The sequence below is a fragment of the Homo sapiens genome, chromosome X (assembly GCF_000001405.40).
Source record: "Homo sapiens chromosome X, GRCh38.p14 Primary Assembly".
NCBI classification, from domain to species: Eukaryota; Metazoa; Chordata; class Mammalia; order Primates; family Hominidae; genus Homo; species Homo sapiens.
Window position 1 is genome coordinate 85,346,154 of NC_000023.11, and position 16,701 is coordinate 85,362,854.

Here is a 16,701-nt window from a genome sequence, read left to right on the forward strand (position 1 = left end):
ACCCTAGGATTTATAGATTTAACTAGTGATATTTTTTCAATTTTTTTCATTGGGAAAATTTGTATTGAATTCTGTTTTTATTTGATCAGGTTGTCGTGACCATCCGAATACTTATGTAGATTGGCCAAGGCATTGCATGTTCTAATTAAATTAATATTCCAGCTATACTTAACACTAAAACCATAATGAATATTAATATTAATATTACTTTGATGATTCAGTAGGCACTTCAGAATCTAATTACATAAAACACTATAATACCGAAGATATAGGTAAATTTAAAATTAAAAAATAATATAGTGATTTTCAATGTCAGGAAGCATATTAGAATCACAGTGGGTGAGGAGCAAAGTTCTTATCCTTATGAAACTTAAGGATAAATTTCTTAAAAAGATTAAAAAAACCAGCGACTGAAACTTTAGACCTAGAAAACATGGATTCTAACTCTGATTTTATCACTAACTCTGATCTTGAGAAACTGTATATGCAACCTTTATGAGCCTCCATTTTTCCCATTTATAAAAGTGAAGATGGTACATATTCCATAGGGGTGCTATGAGGAGTAAATAAGCTAATGTCTATAAGTTGATTACTACAAAGTAGGTGAGTAACAAACATTATTATTATGATCACATCATCATCATTGTCATAGTCATCATCAACTTTATCATCATTTACCCTACTAATTTTGCAGATGAAAGAAAAAAACTCTGAGGTCTAGAAAAGTAAGATAATTTGCTCATAGTAATGCAGCTAATTAATGACAAACTTGGGACTGGAACCCATGATTTCCAGCTTAGACTTCTTTTAGGATATTAGGCTGAATTTGCACTGACTTCAAGATATTCTGGAATTTGTTGTTTTTAAACTAAATCTTTGTTATTTGCTTATTTGTCATGGCTTTTTTCTGGTAAGTATAGAGCACAGACTAAGAAAAGATATCCAGTTATTTTAGTTTGGGGGATTTCAGGCATACTTGAATTTGCTTTCTTATCTTGTGATTATTCTACTTCGATAAGAGACATCTGGAAGCCTGTTTTCAAAAGAAACATACTGTATTTTGAATCACAGTGCTACATGTATGCACATACAATTAATTTTGAAAGTAAAAATGCAATGCACTATATCCTTTTGACTATGGAAAGTTGGCCTATATTAATACAGTAAAACACTTCATATTTTACATTTTTATATGAAACAATTTTCAAGCTGTATTAAATGAAAAAAGTACAAAAGAATGAAATAGTATACTCTTTCTGCTGTAACATGTTTTAAAAGTGACGTATACATTTACAAACATATATAACTGCTTTGATATGCATAGACCAAAATAGTTTTAAGAGTAGCTGCTTCTGGGAAGAGAAACTGGGGACAAAAGTGTCTGGATAAGGAGGTTTATTTGTCACTGTATACCTTTTAATGCTCTTTTTATTCCTTTCAATGTTTTTTATACTTTAAAATTTTTCCATGTATAAAAATTACCTTTTCATGTATACAAAAATATTTTGAAAAATGAAATATATATAAATAAACACATTTTACAAATAGAAGTTGCCTTGGTAGATATAGAGATAATAAAGGTCATAGAATAAGTTCCTGCTATCATTTTCTCTAGACTCTTTTCAAATAGCACACTTTGTACATACACTAGCACTAAAATCTTTACAGTTTAGGAATTTTGGGGGTGAATGTATGTTACATTACTATTATCTTTTATGTTACAAAATATCTTCATATACTGGAATGAGGTAAAATTACACTGATAGTCTGAGATGACTATCACTCATTGGAGAGCTTGTAGGCTATTGAAATAGAAGCTCTCCTGAAGGAATAAAACAAAACAAAACAGTATGTTCCTCACAAAGCAAGTTAGGAAACTCTTGGAAAGCACACATCACTAGAGGGCAATAAAGAAATCAAAAACTGTTTCTTAAAAATCTCCCTTTGTTAATGTATCAGTTGTCTCTTGAATAGAACACTGACATTCCCATAATCTGGGGTGCCTTGCAGTCTACCTGAGCCCATTTGGCCTGTCAACAATTTACTGGTACCACTGAGGTCTTAGCAGGTTTTCAGTTTTCAATTCTTACACTAAAGTTCTTTTTCTAAAGCAAAATGTTCATATATTCATCATATTTTTAAAATATATAGTAAGCTGAATTTTTAAAGTACAGACAGATCAAACATTTCTGATTTGTCATATTGTTTTTCCTTTTTGATAGAGTAAAAAGAATTATGATGAGTACAAATCATATGAATTGGATAGTTATCTTGCACCTGGCACCACTTTACCACCCTTCCAACACAAAGATCTCTTTTTTCTTGAACATTTCTCATCTCCTAAGAGCTAGTCCTATTTGATTCGGTCACATGTTACGGTAAACAGGTTCATCCAGACTCTGGCTTTACTCAGATTGTCCTAGTTTATCTCCACCAATGAGGAAACTAGTAGGACAATGCAATTGCAGTTTGCTCTATCTGCATGGTTCCTTTTACACTGGGCAGCTTTCGTGGTGGTTCCCAAACTCCGAAACTGTTTAAGTAATTAATAAGATAAAGTGGGCATAAACAAGTAAATATTCGAGTTAACAGTAAATAGCAGCAGTATTCTCTTAAAGGAGCTAGTCTTTAGTTGTTCCAGCTGCACAGCAACAATGTACAAGATATTCAATCTTTTACTCCAGAGTCCAAGAATTAGAAACACTATTTGTTCTCTTTAAAACAAGAAGCTAGAAGCAGCATGAAATGATTTGCCTCTAACATTCCTTACTATTTAAAACGTGTCAAACTTATTTTTTGTAGCCCAGTTGGATAAAGGACAGATGTTATAATTTGATTTCTTATAAAGGAAAACACTCCTTGAGGAATAGGTACATTTCATGAAATTTTTTCTGCTTGGTATCATAATGTCCAGAAATATTCTGCTGCTCCTCTGTAAGATGAGTATTCAATACATACCATAGCAAACCCTTCAGACTATATCCCAGCTTTCCAAGCAAACCAAAATGTTAAAGATTTGCATGTTTATGATTCTGAAAGTTTGCTTCATTTTAACTGGACACAAATAAGTAATAATGCATTAGTTCCTATGAATCTGGTAACAAATGTCCACAAGTGCTCATAAAAAATAAAATGAGTTCTTATGCCAAAAAGTTCAAAAAGGAAAAGCTAGAATTTTTTAGTCCGTTTGATTTGCATATGAAAAAAATGATTTTGTCATCGCAACTGATTTGATAGTGTTTAACTGCCTATTATGGGTCGAATTGTACCCTCTCATACCCAAGATATGGTGAAGTCCTAACCCCAGTAACTCAGAATGTGACCCTATTTAGAGACAGAGTCTTTATAGAGATAATCAAGTCATTAGGATGGCCCTAATAAAATATGACTGGTGTCCTTATAAAAATGCAAAATTGGACACAGAAACAAACATGCACAGAGGGAAGATGATGTGAAGACACACAGGAAAGTTTCCATATGAAGATAAATTATTGGAGTGATGCATCTACAAGCCAAGGAATGTCTGAGGCTACCAAAAGCAAGGAGACAGGAATGAAAGAGTTCCTTCTCTGGCAGCTTCAGAGAGAACATAGCCCTGCCAACATAGTAATTTCAGACTTCTGGCCTCCAGAACTGTGAGACAATAAATTTCTGTTGTTTTAAACCATACAGTCTGTGGCACTTTGTTGCAGCAGCCCTAAGAAACTAATACAGTGCCCTAGTTCAAGAATGTCCAACAGACAAGTCCTGGACATTGGGCTGGACATGCTTATATGAACTGAGAAGAGCAATATGAAACCTCTGTTGGTTATAGTAACAACTCTGCATGAAGGACTTGCGGCTCTAGATGCCATGGAATTACTGTGGCCTTGCTGCAGTTTTTTTTATTATTATTATACTTTAAGTTTTAGGGTACATGTGCACAATGTGCAAGTTAGTTACATATGTATACATGTGCCATGCTGGTGTGCTGCACCCACTAACTCGTCATTTAGCATTAAGTATATCTCCTAAAGCTATCCCTCCCCCGTCCCCCCACCCCACAACAGTCCCCAGAGTGTGATGTTCCCCTTCTTGTGTCCATGTGTTCTCATTGCTCAATTCCCACCTATGAGTGAGAATATGCGGTGTTTGGTTTTTTGTTCTTGCGATAGTTTACTGAGAATGATGATTTCCAATTTCATCCATGTCCCTACAAAGGACATGAACTCATCATTTTTATGGCTGCATAGTATTCCACGGTGTATATGTGCCACATTTTCTTAATCCAGTCTATCATTGTTGGACATTTGGGTTGGTTCCAAGTCTTTGCTATTGTGAATAGTGCTGCAATAAACATACGTGTGCATGTGTCTTTATAGCAGCATGATTTATAGTCCTTTGGGTATATACCCAGTAATGGGATGGCTGGGTCAAATGGTATTTCTAGTTCTAGATCCCTGAGGAATCACCACATTGACTTCCACAATGGTTGAACTAGTTTACAGTCCCACCAACAGTGTAAAAGTGTTCCTATTTCTCCACATCCTGAACAGACACTTCTCAAAAGAAGACATTTATGCAGCCAAAAACACATGAAAAAATGCTCACCATCACTGGCCATCAGAGAAATGCAAATCAAAACCACAATGAGGTACCATCTCACACCAGTTAGAATGGCAATGATTAAAAAGTCAGGAAACAACAGGTGCTGCAGTTTTATACTTGGTCTGTCGATTTGAGCTTAACAGAATTTTTTAAATGTACTAGAAGCTTTAGTTTTCTAGATCTTTTACAGTATATGGTATTTCACATATCTGTTCGTATGTATTGTACATTTAAAATTCGTTCTATATTAAAAGAATTAGAACAAAATTATAATGTTTTAAATTATGATTTTTGTTGGACCAGTTTAAAGGAAAACATACAAGGCATTAGGATATCTTTATTAAGTTCAGATTCTGCCATTAATTTTCTATGTGACTTCACATATCCTGGTTTCAATTTTCTTTCAGTAAAATGAGGACAATAATACTTCACATGAAAAATGGGTATGAAAGTATTAAGGATGGTATGAAGGGCTGTAGATATCATAGCATATTATAACTCATGGTGGTCTTGCCTTGCACTTCAGAGTTGAATGTCACTTGAGCTCTATTAAAATACAATTCAAAATTATACACTTAAAAACAAGTTTTAAAACAAAATATTACTTACCTGATCAGTATTTAGCTTCTCCACTTTTCTTATTGTTTTTTCATAAATAACATTGTTTCCTGGGAAGAAATGGCTTCCTCTTAGGAATTGAGACAGTGGTTCCTAAAATGATAGTAAATTATATGTTTTGTTTTGAAAGTTGTCTTTTCAGAGTAACCTTAAATTAGGCAAATATCCAGTGTCGAATAGGCTCTGAAGTACTGGCTGACCTTAGGAAGAGAGAGGAATGACATCCCAATAATGTTGGTAGATGCAAGGAAATAATAATAAAGGTAGTTCCCTTTATCAAAAAGAACAATCTGGATTTCTCCTATTACATTTTACTAAGCCTAATAACGTCTTTTGTGGAGATTGGTGGAGAGTGGGAAAGATAATTTTCTCTCTGTTCCTAAAGCAAGATATGATGAGTTTCCTTTGAGGTAGGCAAGCATGAGGTCAATCTCATTTAAACTGGGTTCACTGGAAGATTTCTTTCTATGCAAAAATATTGTTGGAGAAATGCAAAATAAAAATATTTCAGCACGACTAGGCCACAAAGTAGGTAGAACTATATTAAAGATTTTTTTTTTCTGCAACTCAATTTGAGTGCCCTTGAATTGTACAATTCTTAATTGTAATTATAATCAAGGCTAAGACTCTCAGAACAACATACGTTTTGAATATTAAGAGCAGAGTAGAGGCTTTAAGAGCCACTTTATCTCCACATATTCAACTAAATTGCTGTAAGATTAGCTGAGTGCCTAGAAGATGTCAGCCAATGAAATATAGGCTGGTGACATGTCCAAAATCTGAAAGAAACTGGGGACGAGCTAATAAGAATCAGACCAGGAGTCTAAAATAAATGTCATGTGTACCATGTTCTTTTCCCTTCCTTTGGTTTTCATTTGAAGTCTACTTGGGTAGGGAGATCTGGAGTTGTTTTGTTTGTTGTTTTTCTACAAAACAAAATTTGCATTCATTTATTTTGTGATATAGGGGAATACTATAGAAGACCATATAGGCAAGTCTGTTACTGGTTAATGTATTTAAGAACATTTCACAATCAACAAAATGTACTAGGATTTTTGTAGTCTGCTATTATAAATACCCATAGAGCAGCTGGACCAAAACACTGATTGTTTAAAAGGCAAGATGCTCTTGAATCAAAAGTTATATACTTATTGTATTCAAGTTTGAGCAAAAGGTGTTTCAACCAAATGTTCCTTGGGGACTTTGGTAAAACAAATATATAAGTGACCAAATCTGACTAGGTGATGAAGTATTAAATCTAAAGCTGGATATATTTAGAAAGACTTCCCTAGAAGATATTTTGTGTTTGTTTGTTTGTTTTTGCAAAAGAGCCCCTATGGTAGTTATGTGCAATCATGGAACACATGCTTAAGTGCTTGCTATGCACAGTGTACTTTGCTACATGCTTTGAGGCATAAAAATATAAGTCTGACTTATTTTATTACCAGGAGCATTTAATATTGATCAAGATTCATCAAACTATGGTAGATAGCCTGTTTTTATTCTGTCCTCAAGCTAAAAATGGTAGTTAGATTTTAAAGGACTATAAATAAAAAACAAAGGCCAAGAACCTATGTGGCCAGCAAAACCTAAAATATTTGTTATCTGTTTCTTTACAGAAAAATTATGCCAATCCCTGATCTAGATAATATATGAACATAAACATATATGCAAAGTAGAAAGAGACAAATGCCTTTACACGTACAGAGAAAGAACTTATGGGATGGAGTTCAGAGGAAAAAAACTGAGTTCCATCTGGCTGTGCTCTAGTAGAGTACCTGGATTAGGTGGCATTTGAAAGAAAGTTAAAGTGGTCTTTGGATATGAGAAAATTGAAGAAAATGGTATTCCAAGTGAAGGAAACAAGACAATTAAAGTCACCAAGTTTGGAAAAGTGTAAGTTATATGTATGGGACATACTTAGCAGATAGAGCTTGGTTCTTCAAGCAGTGAGAAGTCCTTACATGCTTTTAAACAGGGGTATGAGGTGAAGTTTACTTCAGGGAGATTAATTACAAGAAGAGTACAGATGAGGAGACTGGTAAGATTATCCCAATAATCAAAAACAGTACTGTTCAAAGATGACTCTGAGATCTTGAACCTGAGGAGTCTACTACACGGTACCAAAAATGAAAATGTTGAGACATTTTACGTGCTCCTAATAACAATCTAGGTCTGATTATGTTTTTATTCCCCAGAACACTCAGCAAACTACACAGTGCATAGTAATCCCTTTAACATGTCACAAATGATTGCAAATAGCTCCCAAAGAGACTCTTTTACAAAAAAATGTCTGGGTAGACACTCAGATGTAGACGTTCAATGCATAGGTGAAAACACAGGTCTGGAACTAAGTGGTGAGTGCAAGGCTACAGATCTATTACATATATCAAGACCACCTGCTCACTAGTGCTAGGTTAAACTAGCAATTGCTGAGTAGTCAAATGAAGAGCAAATACAGAACTAGACATGTCTCAAGAGGTCTTAGAAGAGAAAATATTGTAATTTAAAGGAAGAGTAATTTTCAAGAAGCAGTAGGAAGTCAAAGGTAAAAATGTTTCAGAGTGCCCAACAGATGAGAATTATAAAGTGGATTGGATTTGGATTACTACAAATCCATTGGGTTTGACTACTAAAATCAGTGGAAGAAAGTATAATGGGAAAAAAATTATGCAGTCATAAAACCTATATTTCAGTTCTTCCTTCTCCTATGTGCTGCAGAAAAGCAGGTAGGCCATTAACCTTATTGGAGGCTCAGTTTTCTTAGCATAGGGAGGGTAATGCAGAATATCAGGTAAGATCATGTGTTTTAAAGTACCCTTAATCTATAATTTTAATGTAAAAATGACACTTGTTTTAAATAATATTGTAATATAATATTTAAAATCCATACTGTGTTTTAAATAATATTGATAATTCCCTTATAACTTTTGTAGAATATCAAGTATAAAAATACACACAAGTAGGCTTACTGAGGGCAGGGACTTTGACGATCTTGAGTACCACATAGTGAAGGAACTGATGATTGAGTGAGAAGGAATGATATGAACCTTCATCTTAGGAATGTAATCATCCTCTAAGAGAGGGAAAACAAATTTAGCAAAAGCATGAAATTTTTTTTCTGTGAAATGAAGTTCACTATAAATGATGAACGGTCATTCCCTGTTTGCAGATGACATGATTGTATATCTAGAAAACCCCATCATCTCAGCCCAAAATCTCCTTAAGCTGATAAGCAACTTCGGCAAAGTCTCAGGATACAAAATCAATGTACAAAAATCACAAGCATTCTTATACAGCAATAACAGACAAACAGAGAGCCAAATCATGAGTGAACTCCCATTCACAATTGCTTCAAAGAGAATAAAATACCTAGGAATCCAACTTACAAGGGACGTGAAGGACCTCTTCAAGGAGAACTACAAACCACTGCTCAACGAAATAAAAGAGGACACAAACAAATGGAAGAACAGTCCATGATCATGGATAGGAACAATCAATAACGTGAAAATGGCCATACTGCCCAAGGTAGTTTATAGATTCAATGCCATCCCCATCAAGCTACCAATGACTTTCTTCACGGAATTGGAAAAAGCTACTTTAAGGTTCATATGGAACCAAAAAAGAGCCCACATTGCCAAGAGAATCCTAAGCCAAAAGAACAAAGCTGGAGGCATCACACTACCTGACTTCAAACTATACTACAAGGCTACAGTAACCAAAACAGCATGGTACTGGTACCAAAACAGAGAGATAGACCAATGGAACAGAACAGAGCCCTCAGAAATAATACCACACATCTACAATCACCTGATCTTTGACAAACCTGACAAAAACAAGCAATGGGGAAAGGATTCCCTACTTAATAAATGGTGCTGGGAAAACTGGCTAGCCATATGTAGAAAGCTGAAACTGGATCCCTTCCTTACACCTTATACAAAAATTAATTCAAGAAGGATTAAAGACTTACTTGTTAGACCTAAAACCATAAAAACCCTAGAAGAAAACCTAGGCATTACCATTCAGGACATAGGCTTGGGCAAGGACTTCATGTCTAAAACACCAAAAGCAATGGTAACAAAAGCCAAAATTGACAAATGGCATCTAATTAAACTCAAGAGCTTCTGCACAGCAAAAGAAACTACCATCAGAGTGAAAAGGCAACCTACAGAATGGGAGAAAATTTTTGCAATCTATTCATCTGACAAAGGGCTAATATCCAGAATCTACAAAGAACTCAAACAAATTTACAAGAAAAAAACAAACAACCCCATCGAAAAGTGGGCAAAGGATATGAACAGACACTTCTCAAAAGAAGACATTTATGCAGCCAAAAAACACATGAAAAAATGCTCATCGTCACTGGCCATCAGAGAAACACAAATCAAAACCACAATGAGATACCATCTCATGCCAGTTAGAATGGCAATCATTAAAAAGTCAGGAAACAACAGGTGCTGGAGAGGATGTGGAGAAATAGGAACACGTTTACACTGTTGGTGGGACTGTAAACTAGTTCAACCATTGTGGAAGACAGTGTGGTGATTCCTCAGGGATCTAGAACTAGAAATACCATTTGACCCAGCCATCCCATTACTGGGTATATACCCAAAGGATTATAAATCATGTTGCTATAAAGACACATGCACACATATGTTTATTGCGGCACTATTCACAATAGCAAAGACTTGGAACCAACCCAAATGTCCATCAATGATAGACTGGATTAAGAAAATGTGGCACATATACACCATAGAATACTATGCAGCCATAAAAAACGATGAGTTCATGTCCTTTGTAGGGACATGGATGAAGCCGGAAACCATCATTCTCAGTAAACTATTGCAAGGACAAAAAACCAAACACCGCATGTTCTCACTCATAGGTGGGAATTGAACAATGAGAACGCTTGGACACAAGAAGGGGGGCATCACACACTGGGGCCTGTTGTGGGGTGGAGGGAGGGGGGGATAGCATTAGGAGATATACCTAATGTTAAATGACGAGTTAATGTGTGCAGCACACCAACATGGCACATGTATACATATGTAACAAACCTGCACATTGTGCACATGTACCCTAGAACTTAAAGTATAATAAAAAAAGAAAAAAAAAGAAAAAAGATTGTCTAGGCACTAACGATGTTGATTCTGTCTGGAATATTTTCGCCATATTACTTGAAATGTCTTACTGAAAAAAAAAACCTCCAAATTTAGAGGACAATTACTTTCCCCAAATCTGTAAGGAAGTAAATCAAAAATTGATTTAAATAAACAATTCTGTCAAAATAAGTCAACAAAATAAATTTAATCAGACGTTTTAGATGTCTCAACAAATGAGCTGCTAGACAATTCTACTATTTTGGCACCTTCTTTTTCTCAACCTGTCCATTTGAATTGGTGCCAGATCCACCCTAAAAATTAATAGGTGTTTTCAAAGTGGCAGATCTTATAATGTTAATTGTAACAGCTAGAACCTCTGGTAGTAATTCTCACATCTAACAAAGTATATAATCCCCAACATCTACTTTACGGTTCCCAGGCCCCAAAATCTTGGTGGAAGAAACTTTTTTAAAAAAGATTTGCTGATTTGGCTCATTAGAGTTTGAAGATATCCAACTTGAAGTAGACCCTTCAACCTTTGTGGTTACATTTGTATTCATCAAATTCTTTACTACGTTGCTTACAAATATTTTCATTTTCCTCAACTCCTGTGCTTATACTCCCTCTTTCTCCTCCTATTTACAGAGACAACCAAGATAATCTATCCAGTGAGATCTCTCTATTTTCCTGCACATCTCAAAAATCCCTCTTTTCTGCTCCTTCCATCCACTTAAGGAAAAAGATACATTCTCTCTCTTTGTTTTTCCTGAAGTCATTTCTCCATCTGTATCTGGAATCCCATTCCTTCTTATCTCTTCCAGAATATTATCCCATTTGTCTCCTTTCTCTGTTGCATCTTTAGCCTTCCTTATTACTGGTTCTTTCTATCTACAAGTTTCCCAGGTTCACAAGATTCTCATTTCTCCTTTAGCGACCATCCATCTCTCCTTTCTTTGACCAATACCCTTCCAGAAGAGTAATCTTCACTCATTTTTTTCAATTCATCTCATCTTCTCACCCATTAACTTCTTGCATCTGGATTTTGCCTCCATAAGTATACCAAAACTGCTCTATCAATGTCACTATCACTTTCTTAATGGTCAAACCCTATTCTCAAACCTCATCTTCTTATGCCTTTTGGTCATTTGAGACGGTTGACCACCCCATGTTTGCATTTGCCTCTGTTATGGTGTGTTCACATCCCTCTCTGATAACCCCTCTGTCTGTGAAAGTGGTTCCTTCCTTCTATTCACTTAAAGTAGACATTTCTCAAGGTTCTGACCCAACCTTCTCCATTACCTCTTAGTGATCTCACTCATTCCCATAGCTTCAATGATACCTTTAAGAGGAATGATTCCCACATCTCTGTTAAATGTGACCTTTCTTTGAGTCGTTTTTTAACTGCCTGTTAGTTAAAAATGCACCTAAAATGCTACTGGTTCAAATAAAACTCAAAATTTCACCCTTTTCTAAATCTACTTCTCCTCCCACTCACTTTTCAATCACTCTAAGTGGGTCACCTTACTCTCAGTGTCTCAAGCTAAAAAGCTTAGGGTCATGTTGACTTTTCCCCATATCCAGTAAGTCATCGAATCTTGTTAAAGCTACCATCTAAAATAGCTTCCAGAAAAGATAGAGAGTGATGAATTAGCATCAGAAGACCTGAGCAAGTTACGCTTATTCAAACTTTCATTTCCTTAGTAGTAAAACAATGCTAATATCAAGGTTAATCATACTAATACCTTAAACACCACAATAAATCCTTCCCTGATTTCCCTCAAACAAATGTATTATCTCCGACATCTGAACTCCAATAATAATTTATCTGTGGTCCTTTCACGGCATCTATCCTACATCTCACCATGTATTCTACATAGCTATTTGTGGACCTGTCTTATCTCTTTCCTTGAGAAGAGCTGTATGCTCCTTTAATTGGGGAAACATGCCTTATTTCCCTGTTTCTATTGAGAGACTGTATAGTGTCTTCCCCATAGCAGGAGCTCCACAACTGGAAAATTAATGAAATTGATTAGTACTAATTGGATTATGTCCACTAATGGAACAAAGGTATTTCCTTCATTTCTGGATCAAATGTTAACCAGAATGCATAAATCCTTAGATTAAATGATGACAAATGGAGACTAAGGAAGATCAGGAACAACAAAAAGATAAAAAGGCTTAACAGAGATAGAAAAAAATCATAATGCAACAATTGGACTGAGATTATTTTAATGACAGGAAAAAGAAATAAAGATTAGACAAGCTGGGAGGTGAAAGAGGATGAAATTGCTATTTAGAAGGCTCAGCTTATTATAAATATTGTAATTAAACTAGAATCTTCTCCTGAGGGGATTTAAAAGAGCAAACAAAAAAGGAATCTACTTAGATAAATTAAATGGGGAGTATAGCTAAACAGGATTTTCAAGCTGCTTTGTAAAACAAGTTAGATTACTTTTCGTTTACAAAGCATCATGAAACTTGAAATTTGTTTCATTCTTCAATAATGGAAAGAGGCTTATTAAGGTGGAATCTTAGTTTGTGAAATGTAAGGATTTATATCTCAGTAAAAAAATGTAATTTTCTAAAAAACTCATTGCTGGGTACAAAAGTTCACACACCACAGGCAATAAAGGCATAGGGACACTTTTTAACCTTTGACCTTTAATTTTCATCTTCCTAGTCCATATCTCCATGGCAAAGGTAAATAGCCTGAAAACTCCAACCCCTGGTGCAGCAGTTGACAGAGCTTTTATGTGAAGCTTGTAAAAGAACTTTGTCCCTTTTTTCTTTCGTTCAAAGTGCATAAAAGTCTTTTGTAGCATAAGGGTGGGGCTATAGAAGAGGAAAATCTTTACAACCCAAGAATTTCCAACCTGCTTGGAAGTATTGCATCTCTGAGTCAGAATATATAGACTCATGGTTGTTTGGCATTAAAGATGGCATTTATTGATACTGATAATCAGCAATTTACTTTGTAACTGTAAGAAAGTCCAACAATCTGATCTTAAGGATCTGGTAACTGATTAAGCCTTTTTGTTTAAGCAATTAACTTCTAAAGAATTATATGTTGGTAAAAGTTGGTGTCTTACCTGTTCAGGATTTTGTACTACATATTTCCTAATAGTGGTCTGTGGATATGTAGTAAGTTTCACTGTTGGAGAATGAAGTTCCTGTGAAGAAAAGACAAAAGCTGGATATAATCATAGTTATTTAATGAGCTTGGAGCTATCAATAATAATAGGGAACAATTTCCAGGGTTAAATTTTTAGTTATTTGCATGAATGATAATGTATGATTTTATGATTTAGTTAATTTTAATTTCAGAAACATGTATAAAAGCATGTGTTCTGTGCCCAACATTTTACTGGGTACTCGTATTATACTCATTTCATGGTATTTCATCCACATTCCAAACTATATTTGACAAGCATTTTAAAATGCTTCTTTCATTGTAAATGATTACAAGAAAATAATACCTCAATAGTTGATGAATTAAACCTCTGGTTTGGAAAAGACATGTTAAAAAAAATGAAAAGAGACATAAAGAGAAAAACGTGTATGTGTGTGTAGTTAAACATATAAATCCTCAGTGTGCTGGAAAGAGAGGACCATAGATATCACTGTAAAATGTTGATGGGAAAAGAGTTTTTTTGGGGGGTTCATGTAGATTTATTTATTATTTATTTATTTATTATTATTTTTAACTTTTGTTAGAGGTTCAGGAGAACATATGCAGGTTTGTTATATAGGTAAATTCACGTCACAGGGGTTTGTTGTACAGATTATGTCATCACCCATGGACTAAGCCTAGTACCCAGTAGTTATTTTTACTAATCCTCTCCCTCCCCCAACCCTGCATTCTTAAGTGTGGGCCAGTGTGTATTGTTCCCCTTTTTGTGTCCATGATTTCTCATTATTTAGCTCCCACTTATAAGTGAGAACATGCGGTATTTGGTTTTCTGTTCCTGTGTAAGTCTGCTAAGTTTAATAGCCTACAACTCCATCCATGTTCCCACAAAAGACATGATCTCATTCTATTTTATGGCTGCCTAGTATTCCATGGTATGTATATATATATATATATATATATATATATATACATATATACACATTTTCTTTATCCAATCTGTCATTATTGGGCATAGTGATTTCATATCTTTGCCTTTGTGAACAGTGTTGCAATGAACATTCATGTACATGTGTCTTTATGGTAGAATGATTTATATTCCTTAGGATATATACCCAGTAATGGGATTGCTGGGTTGTATACCCAGTAAGGGGATTGCTGGTAAAAGGGTAGTTCTATTTTTGGCCCTTTGAGGAATTGCCACACTGCTTTTCACAATGGTTGAGCTAATTTACACTCCCACCAACAATGTATAAGCTTTCCCTTTTCTCCACAGCCTCACCAGCATCTGTTAGGTTTTATTTTCTTCTGGCTTGTTAATAATAGTCATTCTGACTGTTACGAGGTGGAATCTCATTGTGGTTTTGACTTGCATTTCTCTAATGATCAGTGATATTGAGTTTCTTTTCATATGCTTGTTGGTTACATGTATGGCTTCTTTTGAGAAGTGTCTGTTCATGTCCTTTGCCTACTTTTTAATCGGGTTGTTTGCTTTTCTCTTGTAAATTTGTGCAAGTTCCTTATAGATGCTGGATATTAGACTTGTCAAATGTGTAGTTGACAAATATTTTATCCCATTCTATAGGTTTTCGTTTCACTCTGTTGATAGTTTCCTTTAACGTGCAGAAGCTCTTTAGTTAAGTTAGATTTTATTTGTCAATTTTGCTTTTGTTGGGATTGCTTTTGACATTTTGTTTCTATGTCCAGAATGGTATTGCTTAGGTTGTCTTCCAGGGTTTTTAGAGTTTGGGGTTTTACATTTAAGACTGTAATCAGTCAATCTTGAGTTGATTTTTGTATATGGTGTAAGGAAGGGGTCCAGTTTCAATCTTCTGCATATGGCTAGCCAGTTATCCCAGCTCCATTTATTGAATAGGGAGTCCTTTCCCCATTGCTTGTTTTTGACAGCTTGGTCAAAGATCTGATAGTTGTAGGTGTGCGGCCTTTTTTCTGCGCTCTCTATTCTGTTCCCTTGGTCTATGTGTCTGTTCTTGTACCAGTACCATGCTGTTTTGGTTACTGTAGCCCTGTAGTAGTTTGAAGTTGGGTAGCGTGATGTCTCCAGCTTTGTTCTTTTTGCTTATGATTGCCTTGGCTATTTGGCCTCTTTTTCTTGTTCCATATGAATTTTAAAATAGTTTTATTTCAAGTTCTGTGAAGAATATCCTTGGTAGTTTAATAGGAATAGCATTGAATCTATAAATTGCTTTGGGCAGTATGGTGATTTTAACAATATTGATTCTTCCTATCCATGAGCATGGAATGTTTCTCCATGTTTGTGTCATCTCTGATTTCTTTGAGCAGTGTTTTGTAATTCTCATTGTAGAGATCTTTCACCTCACTAGTTAGCTGTATCCCTAGGTATTTCGTGTGTGTGTGTGTGTGTGTGTGTGTGTGTGTGTATGTGTGTGTGTGGCAATTGTGAAAGGGACTGCATTCCTGATTTTGCTCTTGGCATAATTGTTGTCCGTGTATAAGAATGTTAGTGATTTTGCACATTGATTTGGTATCCTGAAATTTGGCTGAAGTTGTTGATCAGCTTAAGGTAGTTTTTGGCCAAGACTATGGGAGTTTCTAGATATAGAATCATGTCAACTGCAAACAGGGATAGTTTGACTTCCTCTGTTTCTATTTTAAAGTTCTTTATTTCTTTCTCTTACCTGTTTGCTCTGACCAGGACTCCCAATACTATGTTGAATAGGAGTGGGGAGAGAGGGCATCCTTGTCTTATGCCAGTTTTCAAGCGGAATGCTTCCAGCTTTTTCCCTTTCACTATGATGTTGGCTATAGGTTTGTCACATATGGCTCTTATTATTTTAAAGTATGTTCCTTCAATACCTAGTTTATTGAGACTTTTTAACATGAAGCAATGTTAAATTTTATCAAAAGCCTTTCTGCATTTATTGAGATAATCATGTGGTTTTGTCTTTAGTTCTGTTTATGTGATGCATAGCATTTATTGATTTGTGAATGCTGAACCAGTGTTGCATCCCAGAAGTGAAACCTATCTGACGGTGGTGGATTGGTTTTTTGATGTGCTGCTGGATTAAGTTTGCAAGTATTTGGTGGAGGATTTTTGCATCAATGCTCATCAAGGATATTGGCCTGAAGCTTTCTCTTTTTTTTGTTGTGTCTCTGCCAGGTTTTGGTATCAGGATGATGCTGGCCTCATAAAATGATTTGGGGAGGAGTCCCACCTCTTCAATTTTTTGTAGTACTTTCAATATGAATGGTACCATCTCTTCTTTGTACATCTGGTAGAATTTG

General features: G+C 35.3%; 1 protein-coding gene across 3 annotated transcripts in view; it reads right to left on the minus strand.

Annotated features, from left to right (window-relative positions):
• Positions 1–16,701, minus strand: part of POF1B (POF1B actin binding protein) — a 102,270-nt gene that overhangs the window by 68,758 nt on the left and 16,811 nt on the right. For all 3 annotated transcript variants that reach the window (XM_005262203.5, NM_024921.4, NM_001307940.2), the window contains exons 4-5: positions 13,397–13,477; positions 5,197–5,298 (exon numbers count right to left, since the gene is read on the minus strand). In XM_005262203.5, the coding sequence (XP_005262260.1) occupies positions 5,197–5,298; positions 13,397–13,477 (183 nt within the window). The remainder of the gene's footprint in view (positions 1–5,196; positions 5,299–13,396; positions 13,478–16,701) is intronic.